Here is a 24554-nt window from a genome sequence, read left to right on the forward strand (position 1 = left end):
AGCCCTTTCTACATATGGAAGCAAGTATCACTTATGGAGAAGGGCCTCACTTTTTTTTTTTTTTAAACAGGTGGGGTTCCCTGTTGTCCAGGCTGGAGTGCAGTGGTACTATCATAACTCACTGCAGCCTCCAACTCCCGGGCTCAAGCAGTTCTCCCATCTCTGCCTCATGAGTAGCTGGGACTACAGATGCATACCACCACACCCTGCTCATTTAAAAATTTTTTTTGTGCAGATGATGTCTGGCTATGTTGCCCAACCTAGTCTTGACCTCCTGGGCTCAAGTGATTCTTCTGCCTTAGCCTTCTAAAGTGCTGGGATTACAGGCATGAGCCACTGCTCCCAGTCTCCACCCATCTGTAGGTGTGGTACAAGAGCATGTTCCCTCCCAAGCTAATGTGGCATGTACTGGCCTCCCAGGCTGTAGACAAGATGGATGGGGGCTGTGCCCACTTCTTGAGTTACCTTTTTTTTTTTTTTTGGAGGCAGAGTCTCACTGTGTTGCCCAGGCTGGAATGCAGTGGTGCAATCTTGGCCTATTGCAGTCTCCATCTCCTAGCTTTAAGCAATTCTCCCACCTCAGCCTCCTCAGTAGCTGGGATTACAGGTGCCTGGCACCATGTGCAGCTAATTGTTGTATTTTTCATAGAGACGGGGTTACACCATGTTGGCTGGGCTGGTCTCAAACTCCTGGCCTCAAATGATCCTCCCGCCTCGGCCTCCCAAAGTGCTGAGACTGCAGGTGTGAGCCAGGGCACCCAGCTGGGTTGTAACTTTTTTTTTTTTTTTTGAGACGGAATTTTGCTTTTGTTGCCCAGGCTGAAGTGCAGTAGTGTGATCTTGGCTCACTGCAACCTGTGCCTCCCGGGTTCAAGCGATTCTCCTGCCTTGGCCTCCTGAGTAGCTGGGATTACAGGCATGCACCACCATACCCGACTAATTTTGTATTTTTAGTAGAAATGGGGTTTCTCCATGTTGGTCAGGCTTGTTTCTAACTCCCGACCTCAGGTGATCCACCCCTCTTGGCCTCCCAAAGTGTTGGGATTGCAAGCGTGAGTCAGTGCACCTGGCCGGTTTTACATTTTTTGAAGTGCATTTTCCACATGGCCACCTCTCTTGGAGTGCCTGTGAGGAACACAATGCTGTCCTTCTTGATGTCTCTGCAGGGCCACTGCGACGCTGTCTTCTTGCAAAGATTTCTGTCCATGATGTCTCAACATTGAATGTTTGGGTTTTTTTCTCTTGCATTTTAGGGAGAATTGGGGCTCATCCATCCTCACCTTCTCTCTCCCATTGAATTGGTGCATCCTGTTTTGTTAGCACCTGGAATGCCCATGTTCAAGGTTCTTTAAGCACCTCAGTTTAAGGAAAGAAATGCAGAATTTTGTTTTTGTTTTTTTTTTTTTTGAGACGGAGTCTTGGTCTGTTGCCCAGGCTGGAGAGTACGCAGTGGCGCAGTCTTGGCTCACTGCAAGCTCTGCCTCCCGGGTTCATGCCTTTCTTCTGCCTCAGCCTCCTGAGTAGCTGGGACTACAGGCACCCGCCACCACATCTGGCTATTTTTTTGGATTTTTAGTAGAGACGGGGTTTTGCCATTTTAGCCAGGATGATCTCGATCTCCTGACCTCGTGATTCCCCTGCCTCAGCCTCCCAAAGTGCTGGGATTACAGGTGTGAGCCACTGTGCCCGGCTGAGGCTTAGGAATTCTTATAGTTGACTGACATTTACAATTTATTAAGGAACTTACTTTTTAAGTGTATAATCCTCAAAACATCTTTAAAAAAATGGTGATTTTTTTGTTATCCAAGTTACTTTGACATCAGCCATTTGCTGACCCACCACATAATTTCTCATTATGTTACCTTATTACTGGCTGAGTTAATATGCTTACTAGGGACCTGTATATGACTTTTCCAATTAAAAGTAAGTTAAGTCTGGGCGCAATCGCTCACGCCTGTAATCTCAGCACTTTGGGAGGCTGAGGTGGGAGGATCACTTGAGCCCAGGAATTTGAGACCATCCTGGGCAACAAAGAGATCTCAAAAACAAAATTAGCCAAACATGGTGTTGCATGCCTGTAGCATCAGCTGCTTGGGAGGCTGAGGCGGGCTGATGGGTTGAGCCCAGCAGTTTATGCTGCAGTAAGCTGAGATTGCATCACTGTGCTCTAGCCTGTGGGACAGAGTAAGACCTGTCTCTAAAAAAATTAATTAATTAATTAATTAAAAATAAATAAATAAAAGTAAGTCCAAATGGAGATGGTTGGTGGTGTTGGTGGGAATGGATGACATTATGAATGTATTTAACACCACTAATCTGTACACTTAAAAATTGTTAAGATGGTAAATTTTATGTTGTGCATAGCTTACCATAATTAACAAATAATAGATTTAAAACAAACAAAGTAAGTATATTCAGTGCCAGGTGTAGTGGCTCACACTTGCAATCTTAGCACTTTGGGGCATTGAGGTGGGAGGATTGCCTAAAGCCAGGAGTTCAAGACCAGCCTGGGCAACAGAGTGAGACCCCATCTTAAAAAAAAAACAAAAACCAAAAGAAGAAAACATTCACTTTCTTTCTGGATCATAAGTAGAGACCCAGACCTGCCTATGTGTCTTCAATGGACATCTTAAGACTTATGTTTTGGACATATCAGACTTTTGGAATAAAGGAGCTGAGTTGGGAGTGCAAACTCCTCTTCTTGTCCATTGCTCTGTGGCAGGAGATTTTGCTCTCAGCCCCCACTTACTGGTGTGAGATCCTTGATTCTGGAAGGTGAGCTGTGCTGTTCAGCCCACAGGTCCTCATGAATGTCTATATTCAGTGCCACGCAGAATAAGAAGAAACACACACCAGCTCTGTTTCTATGAAGCTTACTTTTTGTTGTTGTTGTTGAGAGGGGGTCTTGCTCTGTCTCCCAGGCTGGAGTGCAGTGGTGCAGTCATGGCACTTATTGCAGCCTCTACCTCCTGGGCTCAAGAGATCCTCCCTGCTCAGCCTCCTGCGTAACTGGGACCACAGATGTGCACCACCATGCCCAGCTAATTTTTAAATTTTTTGTAGAGACAGGGTTTCGCCATGTTGCCTGGGCTGGTCTTGAATGCCTGGGCTCCAGTGATCCACCTGCCTTGGCCTCCCAAAGTGCTAGGATTACAGACATGTGCCACCGAGCCTGGTTTTGCTTACTTTTTCTTTTTTTTTTTAAGTTCCTCTTAGCCTATCTTGGGGAGGTGGGTCAGTGTTATTCAGATGTACATACAACACAATCACCCACACTGGGAGAAGTCCTTGCTAAATGGATAGGGCTGGGTAACCACTGCCACATGGGACATTTGGGAAGCCGATGTTTGAATGTTTTCACGCTTACAGATGCATTCATTTACTACGTTTATTATTCTGTGTGATATGCTTTCTGTGTGTTATTTCACTTAAACCCAGTGGGGGTAAATATTGTGATCCCTATTTGGTAGATGAATTTTAGAGAGGTTAGAGGGCTTGTCACAGTCACACAGCTTTTAATCTTGATGGGATGACACCTCTAGAATGAGGCTTAATAGTGAGATGGCTGCGGAAGGAAAAAAGTAGGAAGGAGAGCAAGAGAGAAGGAAGGAAGGAAGAAAGTAGGGAGAAAGGAAGGAAAGGAGAGGGAAGGAAGGGAAAAAGTAGGAAGGAAAGAAAAGGAAGGAAAGAAGCAGACAGGAAGGATGGAAAGAAGGAATGAGAGGAAAGTAGGAAGGAAACCGATGAAAGGAGGGAAGGGCGAAGGAACAGGTCCCCTGTTCAGGTGAGTTTATTCCCAGGAAGGACCCAAGATGAAAAGTGTGTAAGAATTGTTTTAGGACAGGCATTGTGGCTCATGCCTGTCATCCCAGCACTTTGAGAGGCTGAGGCACGAGGATTGCTTGAGGCCAGGGGTTGAAGACTGCCCTGGGCAACACAGCAAGACCCTGTCGCTATAAAAAATAAATAAAATTAGCTGAGTGTGGTGGCTTGTACCTGTAGTCCCAGCTACTCAGGAGACTGACACAAGAGGTTTAGGGAAAATGAAAAACAGAACAAAAAACAGGCCGGGCATGGTGGCTCGTGCCTGTAATCCCAGCATTTTGGGAGGCCAAGGAGGGTGGATCAGGAGGCCAGGAGTTCAAGACCAGCGTGGCCAAGACGGTGAAACCCCGTCTCTACTAAAAATACAAAAAAATTACCCAGATGCGGTGGTGGGCACCTGTAATCCCAGCTACTTGGGAGGGTAAGGGAGAAAATTGCTTCAGCTGGGGAGGCAGAAATTGCAGTGAGCCAAGATGGTGCCACTGCACTCCAGCCTGGGTGACAGAGTGAAACTCTTGTCTCAAAAAAAAAAAAAAAAAAAAAAAATTAGCTGGCTGTGGTGGTGCATGCTTGTAATCCTAGCTACTTGGGAGTCTGAGGCCAGAGGATTGCTTGAACCCAGGAAGTGGCGGTTGCAGTGAGCTGTGATTGTGCCACTATACTCCAGTCTGAGCCAAAGAGAGGACTCCATCTCACATAATAAAAATAAAAATAAATAAATAAAAACAGAAACGAGAACACAGACACACACAGAGGATGGCCTGGTGAGGACACAGGAAGATGGCATCTCCAAGCCATGAGAGAGGTCTCAGGGGGAACCAGCCCTGCCCACACCTTGATGTCTGACTTCCATCCTCCAGGCCTGTGGGAGAAGAAAGTTCTCTTTAAGTCCCCTCGTCTGTGTGGTGTTATTATGGTAGTCTGAGCAAAATACTTTATTTAGATAGAAGTCTGCCAGAATTAGGGCCCTGTAATGCTTTCCAGGATGAATTGAGGTCAGAGCATAGTTCGTAGGTTCTTTTTTACATTTACTATTAGCCACTAGATTTTTTTTTCAGTAGACTAGCAAATACTGCAGAAGCTGAATTAGACGACAGCTTAAGTCAGATCTTTATGCACCTCAGAATATTTGTACTGATTAAAAGAAATAACCAACACTTGATAGGGGGAAAGATTGAGACACAGAAAGTAGTCTCTCCCTGTGACCAATCCTAACAAATTCTTGCTTAACTACCTTATTTTTTTTGGATGAAAATGTGTTTCTTACATCAGCAGAGATTATGAAGGGATTTACATACAGATGACTAAAATATCAGCCATTAGTCTCCTGTTTGTTTTTTGTTGTTGTTGTTTTTGGTGGGTTTTTTTTTTTTTTTTTTTTCTGGAGACAGGGTCTTGCTCTGTTGCCCAGGCTGGAGTGCAGTGGTGTGATCTTAGCTCACTGCAGCCTCGACCTCCCAGGCTCAGGCAATCCTCCCATCTCAGCCTCCCAAGTAGTTGGGACGACGGCTGTGCACCACCACACCTGGGTAATTTTTTGTTTTTATTTTTGTAGCTGGGATCTCGCTATGTTGCCCAGGCAAGTCTTGAACTCCCGGCCTCAAGTGATCCCACCATCTTGGCCTCCCAAAGTGCTGGACTTATAAGCGTGAGCCACCCTGCCCAGCCTAGTTTACAATTTGAACTTGGTTTTTCATCTCGGCTCCTTTGAAGACTTCTGTCTTCTCCCATGTTTGGGGCAGCTGTGTGTTGTGGACATTCCTTAGTGATCGGCCTGGGAAGGCTCAGACATGTCTAGGCTGCCTTTGTAGGAATAGGGATTAGTAGCTCCTTAGCCCCACTCTTTCCTGGGATGTTGCTGTTTGCTGAGGTCTGCACAGTTCAGACCACCCTGGAAGCCTCTCTCAGGTTCTCAGAGATGGTGGAGTTATACCTTTGACCGTGAGCTCGCAGCATTGCTAGGGAATGTACTTGGCTAAATTTGGAACTATTTGGTTGAATTTGTACCCCTTGGGCATATTTGCTTTGGTAACATACCACAGACTGGGTGCCTTAAAATAACAGAAGTTAATTGTTTCACAGTCCTGGAGACCACAACTCTGAAGTGCAGATGCAGCAGGGCTGTGCTCCCTCTGCGGGCTCTAGGGGAGGCTCCTTCCTGCCTCTCCCAGCTCCTGGGGGCTCCAGGCGTCCCTGAGCTTGTGGCCGCATCACTGCGGTCTCTGCCTCCGTCTCCACGTGGCCTTCTCCTCTGTGCCTGTGTCTTCTCTTCTTCTCTTACAGGAACACCCGTCATTGTGTTTAGGGTCCACTCCAATTTTGGATGACCTCACCTTGAGATCTTTAACTTAATTACATCTGCAAAGACCCTTTTCCCAAATGAGGTCTCATTTACAGGTTCTGTGGGTCAGGACATGGACATATCTTTCTGGGAGACCATAGTTCAGTCCACTACAGTTGTATCCAGTTGTTTCTGGAGGCTCCAGGGGAAGCTCCTTCCTGCCTCTCCCAGCTCCTGGGGGCTCCAAGTGTCCCTGGGCTTGTGGCCGCATCACTCTACTCTCTGTGTCTTTCTCCAGGTGGCCTTCTCCTCTGTGTCTGTGTCTCCTTATTAGTTTCACCACTCATATTGGACTGCCTCCAGGATGACCTTACCATATATATATATATATATATATATATATATATATATATATTTTTTTTTTTTAAATTTCATTTTTTTAAAAAGTGGAGACGGGGTCTTGCTGTCTTTCCCAGACTGGTCTCGAATGCCTGTGCTGGGATTACAGGGGTGAGCCACTGTGCCCAGCCTTTGTGTATATCTTAATCACATCTGCAAAGACCCTGTTTGCAACTAAGGTCCCATTCACAGGTACCAAGGATTAGGATGTCAACGTATCTTTTCCAGGGCACCCCATTCAACGCACACAAAGTAGGGAGAGGGGAGATTGGCTGTGTTTAGGTGACCTGTGAAAGGCCGAGCTAGCTGTGCGGTGTTGCTCTTGCAGCACAGAGGAAGAACTGGGCTCAGATGGTGTCAGCTGTTGGTGTCTGAGATCATCCGTGAATCTACTCCCGGGAATGTGCTGCAGTGAGACACGGTCCTTCTCCCGTCACCTTCCTCACCCCATCCCATATACCCATGGACCCCAAGGGAAAGTACTCAGGGTTGGTTGGTTTCTTTTCCGTTTTGTGACCGCGTGAAATTCCATGTCACGGTCCCTGTGTTTATTCCATACAGATCTCCTAAAGTGTTTTGAGTTCTAGCAAAATTTAAAAATATAACCAAAGAAACTTAAATCCTTGTTTCTCCTCTTTCTGGACACTTCTTTAGTATGAATGGCCTGCTGTCTTCCCTCTGTTTCTGCTGGCCGCCACGTTCCTTCCCTCCAAAGTCACAGGCAAGAGGGATTTAGGGTTTGCTGGGCTTGAGGAAGAGAGGAAAAGCCCATCTCTTTTCACAGTGAGAAACATGTTTTTTGCGCTTTCTCATACCCCACTTTGTACATTTTAAAATTTAATTTTTCTTTAGATTTCTGAACCGAGAGATTTTATTTATGTATTTATTTATTTATTTATTTATGAGACAAAATCTCCTTCTGTTGCCCAGGCTGCAGTGCAATGGTGCAGTCTCAGCTCTGCCACCTCCGCCTGCCAGGTTCAAGAGATTCTCATGCCTCAGACTCTGGAGTAGCTGGGATTACAGGTACCTGCCACCACGCCTGGCTAATTATTTTTGTATTTTTACTACAGACGCGGTCTCACTAAAATTAAAAGAAAAGACATAAACTGCACATCAGATTTCCCTCGTGCGTAACACTACTACTTAGCTTGGAGAGAGATGGAGGGGATCTCTAGGGTGGGGAATGGACCACTTACCTTCAAGATCTCTCTTTATCAGGAAGGAAATATCTGACCTGCCTAGAAACACTTGAAAATACTCTTTTTTTATGTCTTATTGGGCAAAGCTGGGTCAGATGGCCACCCTTAGCTGCAGAGAAGGCTACAAATAGGCATTTTCTACTCAAGTGGGATAATGGTTATCTGGCAAATGTGTACTGGAGAGCCTCAGGAAAATCTACCAGCACCATTAAATGTTGCCTTTGTCTTCTGTGCACTTAAGCTGATAAACTTTAAACATTACAGCATGCCACTTCTGTCTGCTTTGAATAAGGTTGTTTACCGACATACTTCTGCAATCTGATTGTGGCATTGGTGGGACTGGCCACATCTACCCCAGGGTAGCACAAAGATCTGCTGCAGTGCATAAATAACGTGTTTTGAGTTTTGTGTGTTTATAACTCACACAGCTCAGAGAAGGCTTTAGTCACAGAAGTGTAAAAAATCTGTGGAGTCATAGCTGTTGTTCTTAAAGTAGGCATGGAGAATTATCTCCATTGAGGGTCAAATACAAGTGCTAAGAAGACAGAATGTTATGCGGTAAACACAGCCAAGTAATAAATGGTTTTCTTGGAGTGGGTGATAGAGAAAGATAAATAAGGAGGAAGGAAGCAGACAGAGGAAGAAAAGTCAAGGACCATATTTATTGCATTATTAGAATTTTAGGGTGTGGCAAGAATTTAATGTTTCCTAATAATATGCAAGTTCTGTTGGAAAGAAGAGCAACAGGAGACTAAAAGGCTGCTCTGTTGCCCATTTCATAGGTCCAATGGCAGGATAAGCTTGGGTTGGATGCCAGTGTTCCTGATTCCTAATTGTGTTTTATCCGGTTGAAACATCAGTGGCTGTAGTTAAAAACACCTAAATTTTATTAATTCACAGTCCTGAAAGCCCTTCTTCCACTTCCTGTCTTTGACCTGATTACACCTAATTTTGTCCACAGGATGTTACACTGTTAGTAATAAAACCTATTTTATTTCCAAATTAACCAAGAGAATATACTTTAAAAATTTACTATTTTCATTATTTGTTTACTTTTTTTAAAAAATTGAACACTTGTCAGCTATTGACATTGTTTACTTCTTACACTTTCTCTTTATTTTGGAGTTTACTTTCTATTTCTGCCATAATAAAATATTCGTTATTGGAAACTTTACTTAAAAAGCAAAGGTTGCTTCTCCGCCTTTCCCAGTTGCCCTATAAGCTAGTAAATTCATCATTCATTAGCTTATATATTTTACAACACGGGGATTTTAGTTTACAGCAAATACTTTAAAAAATTCTTTTCATGTTACAATGTGCAATCAATGGCATTCCAGACTCTTGGAAGGAAATCCATTGTATGGTTGTGTTCTTTTTTTTCTTCTCAAACCAATAAAAAATTCCCAGTCACAATTTTAAAAATTATCTGTCCTTGGTGGTGCACAGCCCATAGTCCCAAATGCTTGGGCTGACGTGGGAGGATTGCTTGAGCCTGGTAGGTCAAGGCTGCAGTGAGCTATGATTGCACCACTGCACTCCAGCCTGGGCAACAGAGAGAGACCCTGTCTCAAAAAAATAGACGAAACAACATAACGTGATCCACCCTCTAAGCAAATTTTCATGTATACAATTTCACTATTGTATATGTGAGATTTTTATATATGAAATTTCACATGTCAATTCAGTATTGTTAACTGTAGGAACTGGGTGTATGGTCAATCTCCGTGGTTTATGTATGTTGCTCATCCTTTAATCAATATATTTCCCCTTCCCTATCAAGGCCTATCTTCTGATAACTGTCTCTCTACTCTCTACTTCTATGAGTTTGACTATTTTAGATTCTGCGTTAGTCCATTCTCATGCTGCTAATAAAGACATACCTGAGACTGGTTAATTTATAAAGGAAAGAGGTTTAATGGACTCACAGTTCCACATGGCTGCAGAGGTTCTGACAGTCATGGCAGAAGGTAAAAGGAGGAGCAAAGTCACGTCTTACATGGCAGCAGGCAAGAAGAGAGCGTGAGCAGGGAAACTCCCATTTATTAAAACATCTGATCTCGTGAGACTTATTCACTATCAGGAGGACAACATGGGAAAACCCACCCCCATGATTCAGTTACCTCCCACCTGGTCTCTCCCACAACACGTGGGGATTATGGGAGCCACACTTTAAGATTAGACTTGGGTGGGGACACAGCCAAGCCATGTCAGATTCCTTGTATAAGTGAGATCATGCAATATTTAATATTTGTTTTTCTGTGCCTATCTTATTTCACTGAACATAATGGCCTCCAGTTCCATCCATGTTGCTGCAAATGCCAGAGTTTCCTTCTTTTTTTAGGGCTGAATGGTATTCCATCGTATATATGTACCATGTTTTCTTTATCCATTTGCCCTTGGACGGACACTGAGGTTGTTTCCACGTCTTGGCTGTTGTGATTAGTGCTGCCATAAACATGGGAGTGCAGGTGTCTGGAAGATCCTAGTTCTCTTGGGTTTTGCAATCTAGCATAAAGCAGGCACAGGAGTATCAGCCAATGAATGGATAGGTAAATGGATCAATATTGATTAGTGAGTTTGCTCGTCAACAGATGTTGGTTCCTCAGAAGGATAAACTTCCAAACCATCCTTTCTCTGAAAGTCAGTTTCTGAGAAGCCTCCTCTGCTGTTTGGGGTGGGTGTGATCACATAATACGGGAGGGCAGTTTTGTTTTAGTTACTCATCTCTGTCTGCAGCTGTGAATGGGTTGTCTAAAAATATTGCTGAGAATTGACTTGCATGTCAGTAAGGGGCTGCTGACTCTGGGATCAAGGTAGATCAAAGACAATTTAGGGATACTCTAGAAATCCTGCATCAGTTGCAGTGGCTCATGCCTGTAGTCCCAGCACTTTGGGAGGCTGAAGCAGGAGGATCGCTTGAGCCTAGGAGTTCAAGCCTAGCCTGAGCAATGTAGTATAACCTCTTCTCTACAAAAAGTACAAAAATTAACCAGGTAGGCTGAGGCGGGAAGATTGCTTGAGCCCAGGAGGCAGAGGCTGCAGTGAGCTGTGATGGTGTCACTGTACTCCAGCTTGGGCGACAGAGTAAAGTCATTCATTCCAGTAACTGAAGAACATTTATGCTACGTGAAGAATATTTCAATATGCATGTGAACACATGCATACCTTATAGGATCAATGTGTTACAGGAAGAGGAGGAGGATGAAGAGAAGAAGAGGAGGAGAAAGAAGGAGAAACAAGCAAAGCGTGTTTACATTGAAAAAGTGCTCCCAAGATACTATAGAGATTTTGATTTTCTTTTATATCTCATTGACTGTTAGATTTCTTCATTTAGATGCACCCCAGTGGGAGGAAGAGGAGGGAGAAGAGGAGGAGATGGAGGAGGAGGAAGTGGAAAATAAAAGGAAATAGAGGAGGAGGAGGAGGTGAAAGAGAAGGAGGAGAAGATTGAGGAAGAGAAAAAAGAGAAGGCAGAGATGGAGGAGGAGGGGAAGGAAGAGAAGAAAGTGTTTGGATTGAAAATGTCCCAGCAGAATACAGTAGAGCTGTTGGTTTTCTTTTGTATTTGTAGTGGTTGCAGTTGTCTTTCTTTCTGTTTGTGGGTACCTATAGCACTTCATCGCAATCCACGGCAGATTGTAGAATATGGACTCCATGCTTTGAGCAAGTTAGTGTGTCTTAAGAAGAGAGCAGTGTTGAGGAGGTCTGCCTGTTTTATACCCTGTCTGGATTACTGATAAAACCAGAGAGCCTGAAGAGAAAAAGACATGTTACATAAATACATTTACTGTTACTCTAATGCTTCTATATCTGGGCCTGTGGGGCATATGTGGGTGTGCTCTCTGCAAAGACTGATCTGCAGAAATTATGGCCAGTTTGTCCCCAAATTGAAGAAGCAGATGGCTCTCTCTGTCTCCTTCTCTCTCGCTCTTTCTCTCTCTGCAATTTCTGTATTCAGTGGAAAATTCCAGGTGATCGCCTCTCACTAAATGCCATCAGCCCACGTGCACCATGACACAAAGTCTCTGAAAGTTTCACTTGGGGTCTGTGTTTGCTGTCCTGGTGCAGCCCCCCACTGATTGCATGGCTGCGGTGGTTTTTCCCTTTGTCAGGAGACTTAATGACCTCTGTCGATTTCTTCTCTCTCCAGGCACTGGGACGTTCGGGCGGGTGCACCTGGTGAAGGAGAAGACAGCCAAGCATTTCTTCGCCCTCAAGGTGATGAGCATTCCCGACGTCATCCGCCGGAAGCAGGAGCAGCACGTGCACAATGAGAAGTCTGTCCTGAAGGAAGTCAGCCACCCGTTCCTCATCAGGCTGTGAGTCCCCTCCTGAGGCCTCTCCCGACGCACTCTCCCTAGACCCCTGTGTGTCTCTTCTTATAAGAAGCTGGGTGGGCCGAGACCATGGCCTGCGTGCAAAGCCTTAGGCCACAGCAGTCTCCACCTGTCAGGTCTTATCAGCCTCTGATCTTAGAGCTGGAATACCTCCAGGGCTCCTGACCTCCATGGCTGACCAGGTCCAAAAAGAAATGCTCTGTGTTCAGAAGTCCGTGCCCAAGGCCCCTTGCTCCTCTCCTGGGTGAGCGAAGTATCTCTGCCCGGAAAAGGATGCAGGAATCTTTGTCTCCTCACCTCCTTGGGTTCTGCATCTATAGCTCTCGGCAGAACTGGTTAAGTTGGTTTTTAAGGGACCACAGTCACGTGGACGGGGCTGGGCTTCAGGTTTCGTTGGGTTTCTGGTTGACTGTGGATGAGAGATACCCCGTTTAGATGCAGCCCACACACTTCCAGCTGATGGTACACAGCAGTCTTATGTCCTAGGGTAAGTGTGTTAGTCCATTCAGGCTGCTATAACAAAGGATCTTAGACTCGGTAATTTACAAATGACAGACATTTGCCTCATGGTTCTGGAGGCTGGAAAGTCCAAGATCAAGACACGGTGGATTCAGTATCTGGCGAGGACCCGCTTCCTGGTTCATAGATGGCACCTTTTCACTGTGTCCTCACATGGTGGAAGGGGTGAGGGATCTCTCTGGGGTCCCTTTTATAAGGGCACTCGTCCCATTCATGAGACTCCACCCTCATGACCTCCCAAAGGACACACCACCTAACACCATCACCTGTGGGTGAGGATCCAACATAGGGATTTGGGAGGACACAAGAAATTCAGGCCATTCCAGCAGGGTAATTCCATTTCCACCCAGGTGCCTTAGATGAGGATGTCCTTCGTGTCTCTCTTTTCCCTCTATGGGTGCCTTTTATCCAATTCCCATGTCCTCTCGCCACCATCTTGCTACTACGCCTCTCTTGTCCACCTCCCATCTTCTGCTTTATCTAGGTCCCATCTCTCTACCGTGATTTTCTGCACTGTACTTCCTCCTATCTGGTCTTTCCCTCCCACCCTTGCTCCCCTTGAAGACATCCTTCACCTTATAGCCTCATTGATCCTCCCCAAGTACCTCTGCAATGACCAGTCTCTCTCCAGTCATCCTCAGGAAGCTCCTGAAGTATCCCATATAAAGCCCCAGGATGCAGCATCTTCCTATCAATATCCTCACAGACTGGCTTCCTGCCAGCACCTCCCTGTAGTAGAAGGTAGAAGGTGCTGTTTACACGCTCACTACGGGTCTTCTCCTAGGCCACTCCTCCTTGACAGGCCTCCTTCTTTGCCTTTATCATTGTCCTTCACTTCCCCCACCTGAGAAACACACACTTGTTTTCCCTCATTCACCTGTAGTCCCCAGGACACAGGATGCCTCCCATCATGTTCTTGAAGCACCTCGTATGTATTGGAACAAGTGCACCTGCCTTTTCTAGACCCAACATGGCCTGAGTTCTGAACAAAATCATATGCAGAGGATGGGCGCAGTGGCTCATACCCGTAATCCCAGCACTTTGGGAGGCCAAGGCAGGTGGATCACGTGAGGTCAGGAGTTAGAGACCAGCCTGGCCAACATGGCAAAACCCTGTCTGTACTAAAAATACAAAAATTAGCTGGGCATGGTGGCATGTGCAGGAGAGCAGCGTAGAGGATGGGCTTACGGGTATTTTAAAATCTAAAATCCCGCAGAAGAATCGCATAGACATGGGAGTGGGTGGAGTGTGCAAGTGAGAGAATTCCTTAGGATAGAATTCTTGAGCTCCCACAAGTTAAAAAATAAAGAGGAGCTTGCAAAACAGAGCTTTAGTTAGATAATTCTCCTTTCTTCAAGCCAGGATAGTTCAACAGCTGTTTTCCTTAGCAGATAAGGTGGATTCCTGCAGGGACATGGATTCTGATTTTGATGTTCCTGCTTTCTTCTTTTTCGTTGGAGTCTCGCTCTGTCACCCTGGCTGGACTGCAGTGGCGCTATTTCGGTTCACTGCAACTGCTGCCTCCTGAGTTCAAATGATTCTCCTACCTCAGCATCCCAAGTAGAGTAGCTGGGACTCCAGGTGCATGTCACCATGCCTAGCTAATTTTTGTATTTTTTGTAGAGACGGGGTTTTGCTGTGTTGGCCAGGCAGATCTTGAACTTGTGACTTCAAATTATCCACCCACCTCGGCCTCGCAGTGTGCTAGGATTACAGGCGTAAGCCACTGTGCCAAGCCTGCCTACTTTCAATTAAGGAACAAAGTCTTCTATATTTCTTTTTTTGTTCTTTTTTCTTCTTTTTTTTAATTATACTTTTAAGTTTTAGGGTACATGTGCACAATGTGCAGGTTAGTTAAATATGTATACATGTGCCATGTTGCTGTGCTGCACCCATTAACTTGTCATCTAGCATTAGGTATATCTCCTAATGCTATCCCTCCCCCCTCCCCCCAGCCCACAACAGTCCCCAGAGTGTGATGTTCCCCTTCCTGTGTCCGTGTGTTCTCATTGGTCAATTCCCACCTGTGAGTGAGAACATGCGGTGTTTGGTTTTTTTGTCCTTGAGATAGTTTGCTGAGAATGATGGTTTCCAGCTTCATCCATGTCCCTACAAAGGACATGAACTCATCATTTTTTATGGCTGCATGGTATTCCATGGTGTATATGTGCCACATTTTCTTTATCCAGTCTAGCATTGTTGGACATTTGGGTTGGTTCCAAGTCTTTGCTATTGTGAATAGTGCCGCAGTAAACATACGTGTGCATGTGTCTTTATAGCAGCATGATTTATAATCCTTTGGGTATATACCCAGTAATGGGATGGCTGGGTCAAATGGTATTTCTAGTTCAAGATCCCTGAGGAATCGCCACACTGACCTCCATAATGGTTGAACTAGTTTATAGTCCCACCAACAGTGTAAAAGTGTTCCTATTTCTCCACATCCTCTCCAGCACCTGTTGTTTCCTGACTTTTCAGTGATCACCACTCTAACTGGCGTGAGATGATATCTCATTGTGGTTTTGATTTGCATTTCTCTGATGGCCAGTGATGATGAGCATTTTTTCATGTGTCTTTTGGCTGCATAAATGTCTTCTTTTGAGAAGTGTCTGTTCATATCCTTTGCCCACTTTTTGATGGGGCTGTTTGTTTTTTTCTTGTAAATTTGTTTGAGTTCATTATAGATTCTGGATATTAGCCCTTTGTCAGATGGGTAGGTTGCAAAAATTTTCTCCCATTTTGTAGGTTGCCTGTTCACTCTGATGATAGTTTCTTTTGCTGTGCAGAAGCTTTTTAGTTTAATTAGATCCCATTTGTCAATTTTGTCTTTTGTTGCCATTGCTTTTGGTGTTTTAGACATGAAGTCCTTGCCCATGCCTATGTCCTGAATGGTATTGCCTAGGTTTTCTTCTAGGGTTTTATGGTTTTAGGTCTAACATTTAAGTCTTTAATCCATCTTGAATTAATTTTTGTATAAGGTGTAAGGAAGGGATCCAATTTCAGCTTTCTACATATGGCTAGCCAGTTTTGCCAGCACCATTTACTAAATAGGGAATCGTTTCCCCACTTCTTGTTTTTGTCAGGTTTGTCAAAGATCAGATCGTTGTAGATATGCGGCATTATTTCTGAGGGCTCTGTTCTGTTCTATTGGTCTGTATCTCTATTTTAGTATCAGTAAGGTCTTTTATATTTCTTAAATCTCATATAAAGCCCTAGAGACTTTAGATATTCTATCCAAAGTTATTTAAGTTGGTTTATTTTTATCTTTTTATATAAAAAAGTATATATATATTTCTTAATTTAGAGACAGGGTCTTGCTGTGTGGCTCAGGCTGGAGTTCATTGGAGCAATCAATGCTCACTGCAGCTCCAATCTCCCAGGCTCAAGCTGTCCTCGTGTCTCAGCCTCCAGAGTAGCTGGGACTACTGGCATGCACCACTACACCCTGCTAATGTTTTTAGTTATTTTTAATTAAAAAAAAAAGTATATATTTTTCACAACTTCTTTGGTGAAGGTAATGTTTTTGGTTTTTTCTATAAACAGAGTCTTGCTATACTGCCGAGGCTGGGCTTTAACTTTAGGCCTCAAGCCATCCACTTGCCTTGGCCTTCCAGTGTACTGAGATTACAGGTATGTACCACCATACCTGCCTCATTTTAAAGTCTTTTATAAAAATGAGGTCTCACTTTGCTGCCAGGCCAGTTTCAAACTCCTGGGCTCAAATGATCTTCCCACCTTGGCTTTCCAGCATGCTGAGATTACAGATGCGAGCCACTGTGCCTGGCCTATTTTTGTTTCTTAAGGAGTGAAATTTCTGTGCACCATGATAGCTTTCTGAGTGGAAAGTTTGGATGCTTCATGGGTTGTCCTTTGCCTGTACAGCTCACCGGCTCCTCCGAGTGCTGGTTACAGTCGAATGTGAGCTGTATGTCAGGTCTGCGTGGTGGTGTTGCCAAAAAGCATGAATTTTTCCTCATCATTTAAAGTCTACACGGAATTTAAGGCCACTTTCGATATTATTCTTGGGAGGATTTTATTCAGTGTTTTGGGAAAACATGGCAGGAGCTCATTTCAGAATTATATGATTTGGGGATGAGCTCAGTGGCTCACACCTGTAATACCTGCGTTTTTGGAGGCCAAGACGGGAGGATCGCTTGAGACCAGGAATTCTGGACCAGCCTGGGCAACATAGTGGAATGTCATCTCTTAACAAAAATATGAAAAGAAATTTTAGCCTGGCCAACATGGCGAAACCCTGTCTCTGCTAAAAATAGAAAAATTCACTGGGCGTGGTGGTGCAGGTTGGTAATCTCAACTACTTGGGAGACTCGGGCGCTAGAATCTCTTAAGTTTGGGAGGCAGACATTGCAGTGAGCCGAGATTGCACCACTGCATTCCAGCCTGGGTGACAGAGCAAGACTTCATCTCAAAAAAAAAAAAACCAGAGAAAAATAAATAAAATTATTCAATTTTGAAATAGTGCAGAAAACAAGGCAGGCTCTGAAATCTGCAGCTCTTGTGAAATGTTTTGGATCTAGAGAAATGATTGTCAACAATGAGCCTTTAAAGACTTAAGGGTGATAACAATTTACAGGTGACTTTTAACAGTGATAGCAATTTACAGGTGACTTTTTCCAAAATTTACAGAAAACAAGTTTGCCACTTGGACACATTGACTCATACCTATAATGTCAGCATTTTAGGAAGCCAAGGTAGGAGGATTCCTTGTGCCCAGGAGTTTGAGACCACCCTGGGCAACATGGCAAGACCCTGTCTCTACAAAAAGTACAAAAATTAGCTGGGTGTGGTGGTGGGTGCCTATAGTCTCAGCTACTTGGGAGGCTGAAGTGTGAGGATCGCTTGAGCCTGGGAGGTGGAGGTTGCAGTGAGCTGTGATTGTGCCACTGTACTGCAGCCTGGGCAACAGAGTGAGACCTTTTCTCAAAAAAAGAATCCAAAAGCCAATATGCAGTTGGAGAGGGTGAGTAACTTAGCCCATGAGACCTTGTAGTGACTTGCTGAGAATTGATTTTTCAGTACCCTGCAGTGTTACGATAACCCACTATAGCATTTTGTGTTTTCTGTGCATGAATGCTTGAGAGACCATGTGGCTTTAAGAAGTGGATTAAAGTTGATCCAGGGCATCCAGGCACTTGATGTTCCCTATATATAACACAGGAGAGAATGCTTGATCTGGCTAGCTCCGTGGATAAAACGCTGAAGGGTGTCCAGTGTATCCCCATGGATAAGATGCTGGAGGGTGTCCAATGTTGCATGCTGAGGAGTATGTCTTAGAGGAGAATCCTAGATCCTCTGTGAGGAATTAATTTCATCCTCCCAGTTGTGCAGCTTCTCTTCTAAATGTAGGTTGCCTGGCTCAACATCTGCTTCCCTACTGGCAGTTTTAGGTCTTGGATTTCTTGATGAAAGTACAAAACAAGGACTTTCAAAGGAAGTGTCTTACAGTTACGGCTGGATGAGTTTCTGTGGTGGGGACGCCCTGCACACTGTAGGGTGTTGGGGAGTGTCCCTGGGCTCTGCTCAGCCTATGCCAGGGGCAGCAACCCCAGTTATGAAAACTAGAAATGTCTCCAGACATCACCAAGTATTCCTTGGGGGGAGGAAGGGCAAAGTTATCTCCACTAGTGAACCACTGCGATAGACAGATAATCGACAGAGAGATGATACGTAGGTATATGTTGAGATGGATAGGTGATAAATAATAGATATTAAGATAGACAGGTCTAAGTGATGGGTGATTGATAGGTGAATAGATGATGGGTAGCTAACATTAAGATAGATATTAAGATAGGTGATAGATAATAGATATTAATACAGACAGATAGCTATAGATGATAGATATTGAGATACATATTGAGATGGATTTGTGATTGATAGATTGCAAATAGACAGAGCTCTCACGTTATGGGAAAACATTGAGCTTGTTTTTCTTGCGTTTCTGGAAGCCGCATGGAGTGCTACTCATGACAGGAATCAAGTTGAACAGTGACTGTTTGGAGTTCAAAGTGCCATTTGAACAACATGGTAGGTTTGCAAATGGCATTATCAGCATGTGGTATTTGAACAGCTACAGGTTGTAAGTTTGAAAAGACACCAGGGAATTTATGTAGTGTACATGAAAGACCACATTCTGTTCAGTGATAATTCCATTTCTCAAGGCCATCTCAGACTCTTACAAGAGCCAAATAACTAAGTGTTCAAGGTGCAGAAGAAATCCAGCAAAGTCACTTTCCCAGAGGGAAAGTTTTGTGCTCCTCCCAGAGACCATGACCATGATGCATACAGGAATTTCTGACATTTGGATCCAGAACAGGGTTTCTCAACCTGAGCACTGCTGACATCTGGGCGTGGGTGATTCTCTGTGGTGGGGCATCCTGTGTGCACTGTAGGGTGTTGAGCAATGTGCCTGGGCTCTACCCACCAGATGGCAGCAGGACTCTTCCCCAGTGGTGACAACCAGAAAGATCGAGACAACCAAAAAGTTCTCTAGATGTTGTCTGATATCACGTGGGAGACTGGAGGGTGTGGGGGTAAAATTGTGTGTAGTTACAAACCAGTGCAACAGAGAGATGAAAGGTGGATGGATGGATGGATGGATGATAGATAATTATTATTCATAGATACATGGTTGATAAATGGATAGATGATATAGATAGATGATAGATTGATAAATGGATAAATGATATAAACAGATGGATGAATGGATGGATAGCTAAATATTCATAAATAGATATATGGTAGGTTGATAGATGAATAGATGATAAGGACAGATGATAGATTAATAGATAGATGATATAGACAGATGGATAGATAGGTGTTCATAAATACATACATGACTGATAGTTGGATAGTTTGTATAGATAGATGGTAAATTGATAGGTAGATGATGCAGACAGATGAATGGATGAATGGATGGATGGACAGGCCCTAGAACCCAATGACTTGGCTTTGCCACTCACTAGTTGTTGCAGGCTTTCTCTGAACAAGGATGAGATACCACAGTCACTGGTCACTGTTTGCTACGTGGTAGTTTTTTTTTTTTTTTTTTTTTTTTTGAGACAGAGTCTCACTCTGTCGCCCAGGCTGGAGTGCGGTGATGCAATCTTGGCTTGTTGCAACCGCTGTCTCCAGGGTTCAAGTAATTCTCTTGCCTCAGCCTCCAGAGTAGCTGGGATTATTGGTGCTCACCACAGTGCACAGCTAATTTTGTATTTTTAGTAGAGACCAGGTTTCACCATGTTGGCCAGGCTGGTTTCGAACTCCTGACTCAAGTGATTCATCTGTCTGTGCCTCCCACAGTGCTGGGATTACAGACATGAACCACCCCACCCGGCCCTCACGTAGTAGTTTCTTGAATTGCTCATTTTTGCCCGTTACAGTTACTTTTTTTTTTTCTTTTAAGATGGAGTCTCGCTCTGTCGCCCAGGCTGGAGTGCAGAGGTGCGACCTCGGCTCACTGCAAGCTCCGCCTCCTGGGTTCACGCCATTCTCCTGCCTTAGCCTCCCAAGTAGCTGGGAGTACAGGCACTCGCCACCACGCTTGGCTAGTTTTTTGTATTTTTAGTAGAGACGGGGTTTCACCGTGTTAGTCCGGATGGTCTTGATCTCCTGATCTTGTGATCCACGTGCCTTGGCCCCTCAAAGTGCTGGGATTACAGGCGTGAGCCACTGCACCTGGCCTACAGATACATTTTGCTACCTGCCATGAGGGAGAATCTGTATTCAGTTTAGAATCATCGTCATCCTGGGGAGAGAATGTGCCTTAGCATGGCTGAGGCCAGGCTGCTGGTCCCTTCAGATGGTGCTTCCCGCTGTGCTGTCGTTCTAGGTGGCCCCGTTGCAATGCTGACTTGACTTGCACCAAGGCAGTACAGAATGGATGGGATTTGCTAAAGGTGCCCACCTGCCTCCACCTTTTGCTGGCAGTTCCAGGTGTTGGACTTTTTATTGATGAAGGTGTAAAGCAAGGATTTTCAGTGGAGGTACCTCACATTTACAGCTGGATGAGTCTCTATGGTGGGGCCATCCTGCACACTGTAGGGTGTTGAACAGCATCCTTGGGCTCCCCCCAGCAGGGGCCAGGAGCAGCAACCCCAGTTCTGAAAACCGGAAATGTTTCCAGATGTCACCAATGTTCCTTCCAGGAGGGAGGGCAAAGTTATCTCCACTAGTGAACCTCTATTATACATGACCAACAGAGAGATGATAGATGGATACTATAGTAGGTATATGTTGAGATGGATAGGTGGTAGATAATATATATTAATATAGGACTAAATGATAGGTGACGGATAGGTGAATAGATGATGGGTAGCTGATAGATGATAGCTATTAAGATAGGTGATAGACAATAGATACTAATATAGATAGCTATAGATGATAGATATTGAGATGGGTAGGTGATTGATAGATTGATGACCGATTGCATATAGACAGAGCTCTCATGCTAAAAGAGAATTTCTCAACCACAGCAGTGCTGACACATGGGGCGGGATCATGGAGGACTCTCTGTGGTGGAAGCTCTATGTACTGTAGGGTGTTGAGCACCATCCCTGGGCTTCAGATGCCAGGAGCATCCATCCCATCTGTGACAACCAAAGATGTCTCTAGATTCTACCAGGTTTCCTCTGTGCGGACAAAAAGTTATCCCCAGTTCTGAACCACTGTGATAGATAGTTGATGGATGGATAGATATTGATAACTGAGACAGATATTTGATAGGTGACAGATATTGAGGTAGATGATAGCTATAGGTGATTGATGATTGCTAGATATTGAGATAGGTGATTGTCCGAGACGGATACATTGCATTTTTAGTATTTAAGGGCAAAGCAGATGCTTCAAAAAGGGAGGCTTATTTTATTATCTATAATTTTCTTTTTTATTATTTTTTACTTTCATTCCCTTTTTCTATGTATGAAAAGGGAGGTTTAAATTCTTGCAAGAGAATGCAATTGTAGTGTCTTCTGAATGGAGTTTTCCATTTGATGCCAAGCCTTCCAGTGCCTTGGTCTAAGGAGAACTGCATAGGGTGAGAAGAGTCCCAGCGATAACGTGGAAAAGGGGCCTTAACACCTCTGGAGGGCAAGAGGTAGGGGGTGAAGACGCAGTGGACACCTAAGGAGAATTTTGCAGGAGGAGTAGGGGTTTATTGGCTGAAAGGGGTGGGTGGTGGAAAATCATTCTAGACAGGGAGTGACACGGAAGCAAGCCATGGGTCACTACAGGGCAGGAGGGACATGGAGGAGAAACTCAAATCTGAGTTCAGCCAGGAGGTGGACACAGGAATGCAGTGAGCTCAGATGTGTAGGAGACTGCCGTGGGGACTGGGGTATGAGGAAGGACTGGCTCTGGCTTGGCTGTGCATTTGGGCTGCTGGACAGTGAGGAGATCCAAGGAGAGAGAGTGCATTCCAATTTGGGAAACTTTGAGGGCAAAACATCTGCAGCAACTGTCTCAGAAGAGAGCCTGAGGCAGGGTCCTTGGAGGGAGGAAGCCACAGGTGGATGGAGCCACCGAGGGCTGCTAGGTCACCTTGGTTAAGGGCTAGTTGCAGTGCAGCCAGGTCGGAAAGTAGAGCCGTTCTGGAGCCTCACGTGGCATAGATGTTGGAGGAGATGGGATGAGGATGGCTCATTTTCTTCTTCTCACCACAAAAGCCCAGCTTAATGGCAGGCTCTGGAGAGAGGAGGACCAACTTCTACGGTAAGGTGTCTCCAAATTAGTGAGGCTGATTTGCCTGTTCATAAAAACAAAAACAAAAGCAAAAAAATCCTTTAGAGGAGAAGCCATCCCCACAGACCCTGCAAATAAAAGACAGCAGATCAGCTTCGCAGATGGAAAAATGCTGCTTTCAGCTAAAGATGAGGACAGAGCTGCTCAGCTGAGGTCACTGGAGAGGAGGCGGAGGGGACTTGGGAACCTCCCTTGTCTCAGTTGTTGTTGACGACATTGATCCTTTCTTCATGTTGACTTTTCCCCCCATTCATAGATTCATAGATTGCTCTCTATGCTGGAATACGTTCTTTAGGATTTGTTTATTTTGTTAACATATATCACATAAAATTTTGCTATTTTAACTTCCTTTTTTTTTAAAGAAATGTGGTCTTGCTGTGTTGCCCAGGCCGCTGTGCACTGGTGTGATCGTAGCTTACTGCAGCCTCAACCTCCTGGGCTCAGGTGATCCTCCTGCCTCAGCCTCCCAAGTAGCTGGGACTTACAGGTGTGTACTTCGACACCTGCCTAATTTTTAAAATTTTGGTAGAGGTGGGGTTTTGCTGTGTTGCACAGGCTGGTCTCCAACTACCGGGCTCAAGCAGTCCTGCTACCTCAGGCTCCCAAGTAGAGCTAGGACTACAGGCTCATGCCACCATGCCCAGTTTACCTTTTAATTTTTGGTAAAGTTGTGATTTTGCTTTGTTGCCCAGGCTGTTCTCAAACTTCTGACCTCAGGCAGTCCTCCTGCCTTGGTTGAGATTACAGGCATGAGCCTCCATGCCTGGCCTCATTTTAACCATTTTTAAAATGTACGGTTCATGACTCAGGAGGCTGAAGCAGGAGGACCATTTCAACCCACAAGGCAGAGGTTGCCATGAGCTGAGTTTGTGCCACTGCACTCTATCCTGGGCAACAGAAAAAAAATATATAAGATGCACAGTTTAGTGACATGGAGCACATTCATGTTTCTATGCAACCGCCACCCCAACCCCATCCCCATCCGTTTCCAGAACTCCTTTTCATCTTCCCCAACTGAAACTCTGTCCTCATGAAACATGCCCTATTGCCCCTCCCTCCAGACCTGCCCAGGTAACCTCCCGCATACTCTCTGCTCTATGAATTTGGTGATTCTAGGAGCCTTATATAGGCAGAATCATACGGCATTTGTCCTTTTGTGACTGGCTTCTTTCAGTTACTGTAATGTCCTTCAGATTCCCCCATCCTGTAGAAAGGAATTTCCCTCCTTTCTAAGCCCGAGTAGCGTTCCATCGTATAGAGGATACAGCATGTTGTGTTTACCCATTCATTCATCCTTGGACACTGGGGTGCCTTCCACCTCTTGGCTGTAGTGAATAATGGTGCTATGAACAAGGTTCGGCAAATATCTGTTCCAGTGCCTGCTTTCAGCTGCTTGAATACATTTTTTTAATTTATTATTATTATTATTTTGAGATGGGGTCTCACTCTGTTACCCAGGCTGGAGTGCAGTGGTGATCTTGGGTCTCTGCAACCTCTGCCTGCCGGATTCAAGCGATTCTCCCACCTCATCCTACTAGTAGCTGGGATTACAAGCATGCAACACCATGCCCGGCTCATTTTGTATTTTTAGTAAATATAGGTTTTCACCTTGTTGACCAGGCTGATCTGGAATTCCTGACCTCAGGTGATCTACCCACCTGGGCCTTCTAAAGTGCTAGGATTACAGGCGTGAGCCACCACCCCTGGCCCCTTGATACATTTTTAGTATTGTAATTAAATGCTTTTCCCACTGTTGCAGGGAGCCTATGCAGTGTTTTTAGTTAAATATTTTTTCTGAGGCTTACCTCAAGTTTTCCTGTCTTCCACTTACCCTCCCTCATTCCCAGGTAACTGTATTTCACAGCCTGGTATGGATCCTTCTGTACTGTTCTTTGTGTTAAAAAGCCCCCTCACACACACAAGCATGTGCACACACAAGCACATATGCACACAAGCACACACACGTGCACATGCACACATACACATGTGCACATGCACACATGCACGCACACATGTATGCATGCATGCACACACACAATGCGCACGCATGCCCCATGCAGTTTGGCCTCATGCCACTAGAGTATGCATCATTTTTGTCTCTTGTTTTCTTGGAGATCCCTCTGGGGTATTTTGAGGAGGAGAAGTTGTATTATTATTGTGTTGTTGTTAATTTTTAGACATTCAGGGACACACGTGGAGTTTTGGTACATGGATGTATCATGTCATGGTGAGCTT

The 24554-nt window shown here is 44.8% G+C and overlaps 1 pseudogene across 1 annotated transcript in view; it reads left to right on the forward strand.

The window, feature by feature from the left end:
• Window positions 1-24554, forward strand: part of PRKY (protein kinase Y-linked (pseudogene)) — a 107576-nt pseudogene that overhangs the window by 18108 nt on the left and 64914 nt on the right. Inside the window, exon 2 of the transcript NR_028062.1 lies at window positions 11858-12026. The product of NR_028062.1 is annotated as a protein kinase Y-linked (pseudogene) (transcript). The remainder of the gene's footprint in view (window positions 1-11857; window positions 12027-24554) is intronic.

The sequence above is a fragment of the Homo sapiens genome, chromosome Y, assembly GCF_000001405.40.
Source record: "Homo sapiens chromosome Y, GRCh38.p14 Primary Assembly".
Taxonomy (NCBI): domain Eukaryota; kingdom Metazoa; phylum Chordata; class Mammalia; order Primates; family Hominidae; genus Homo; species Homo sapiens.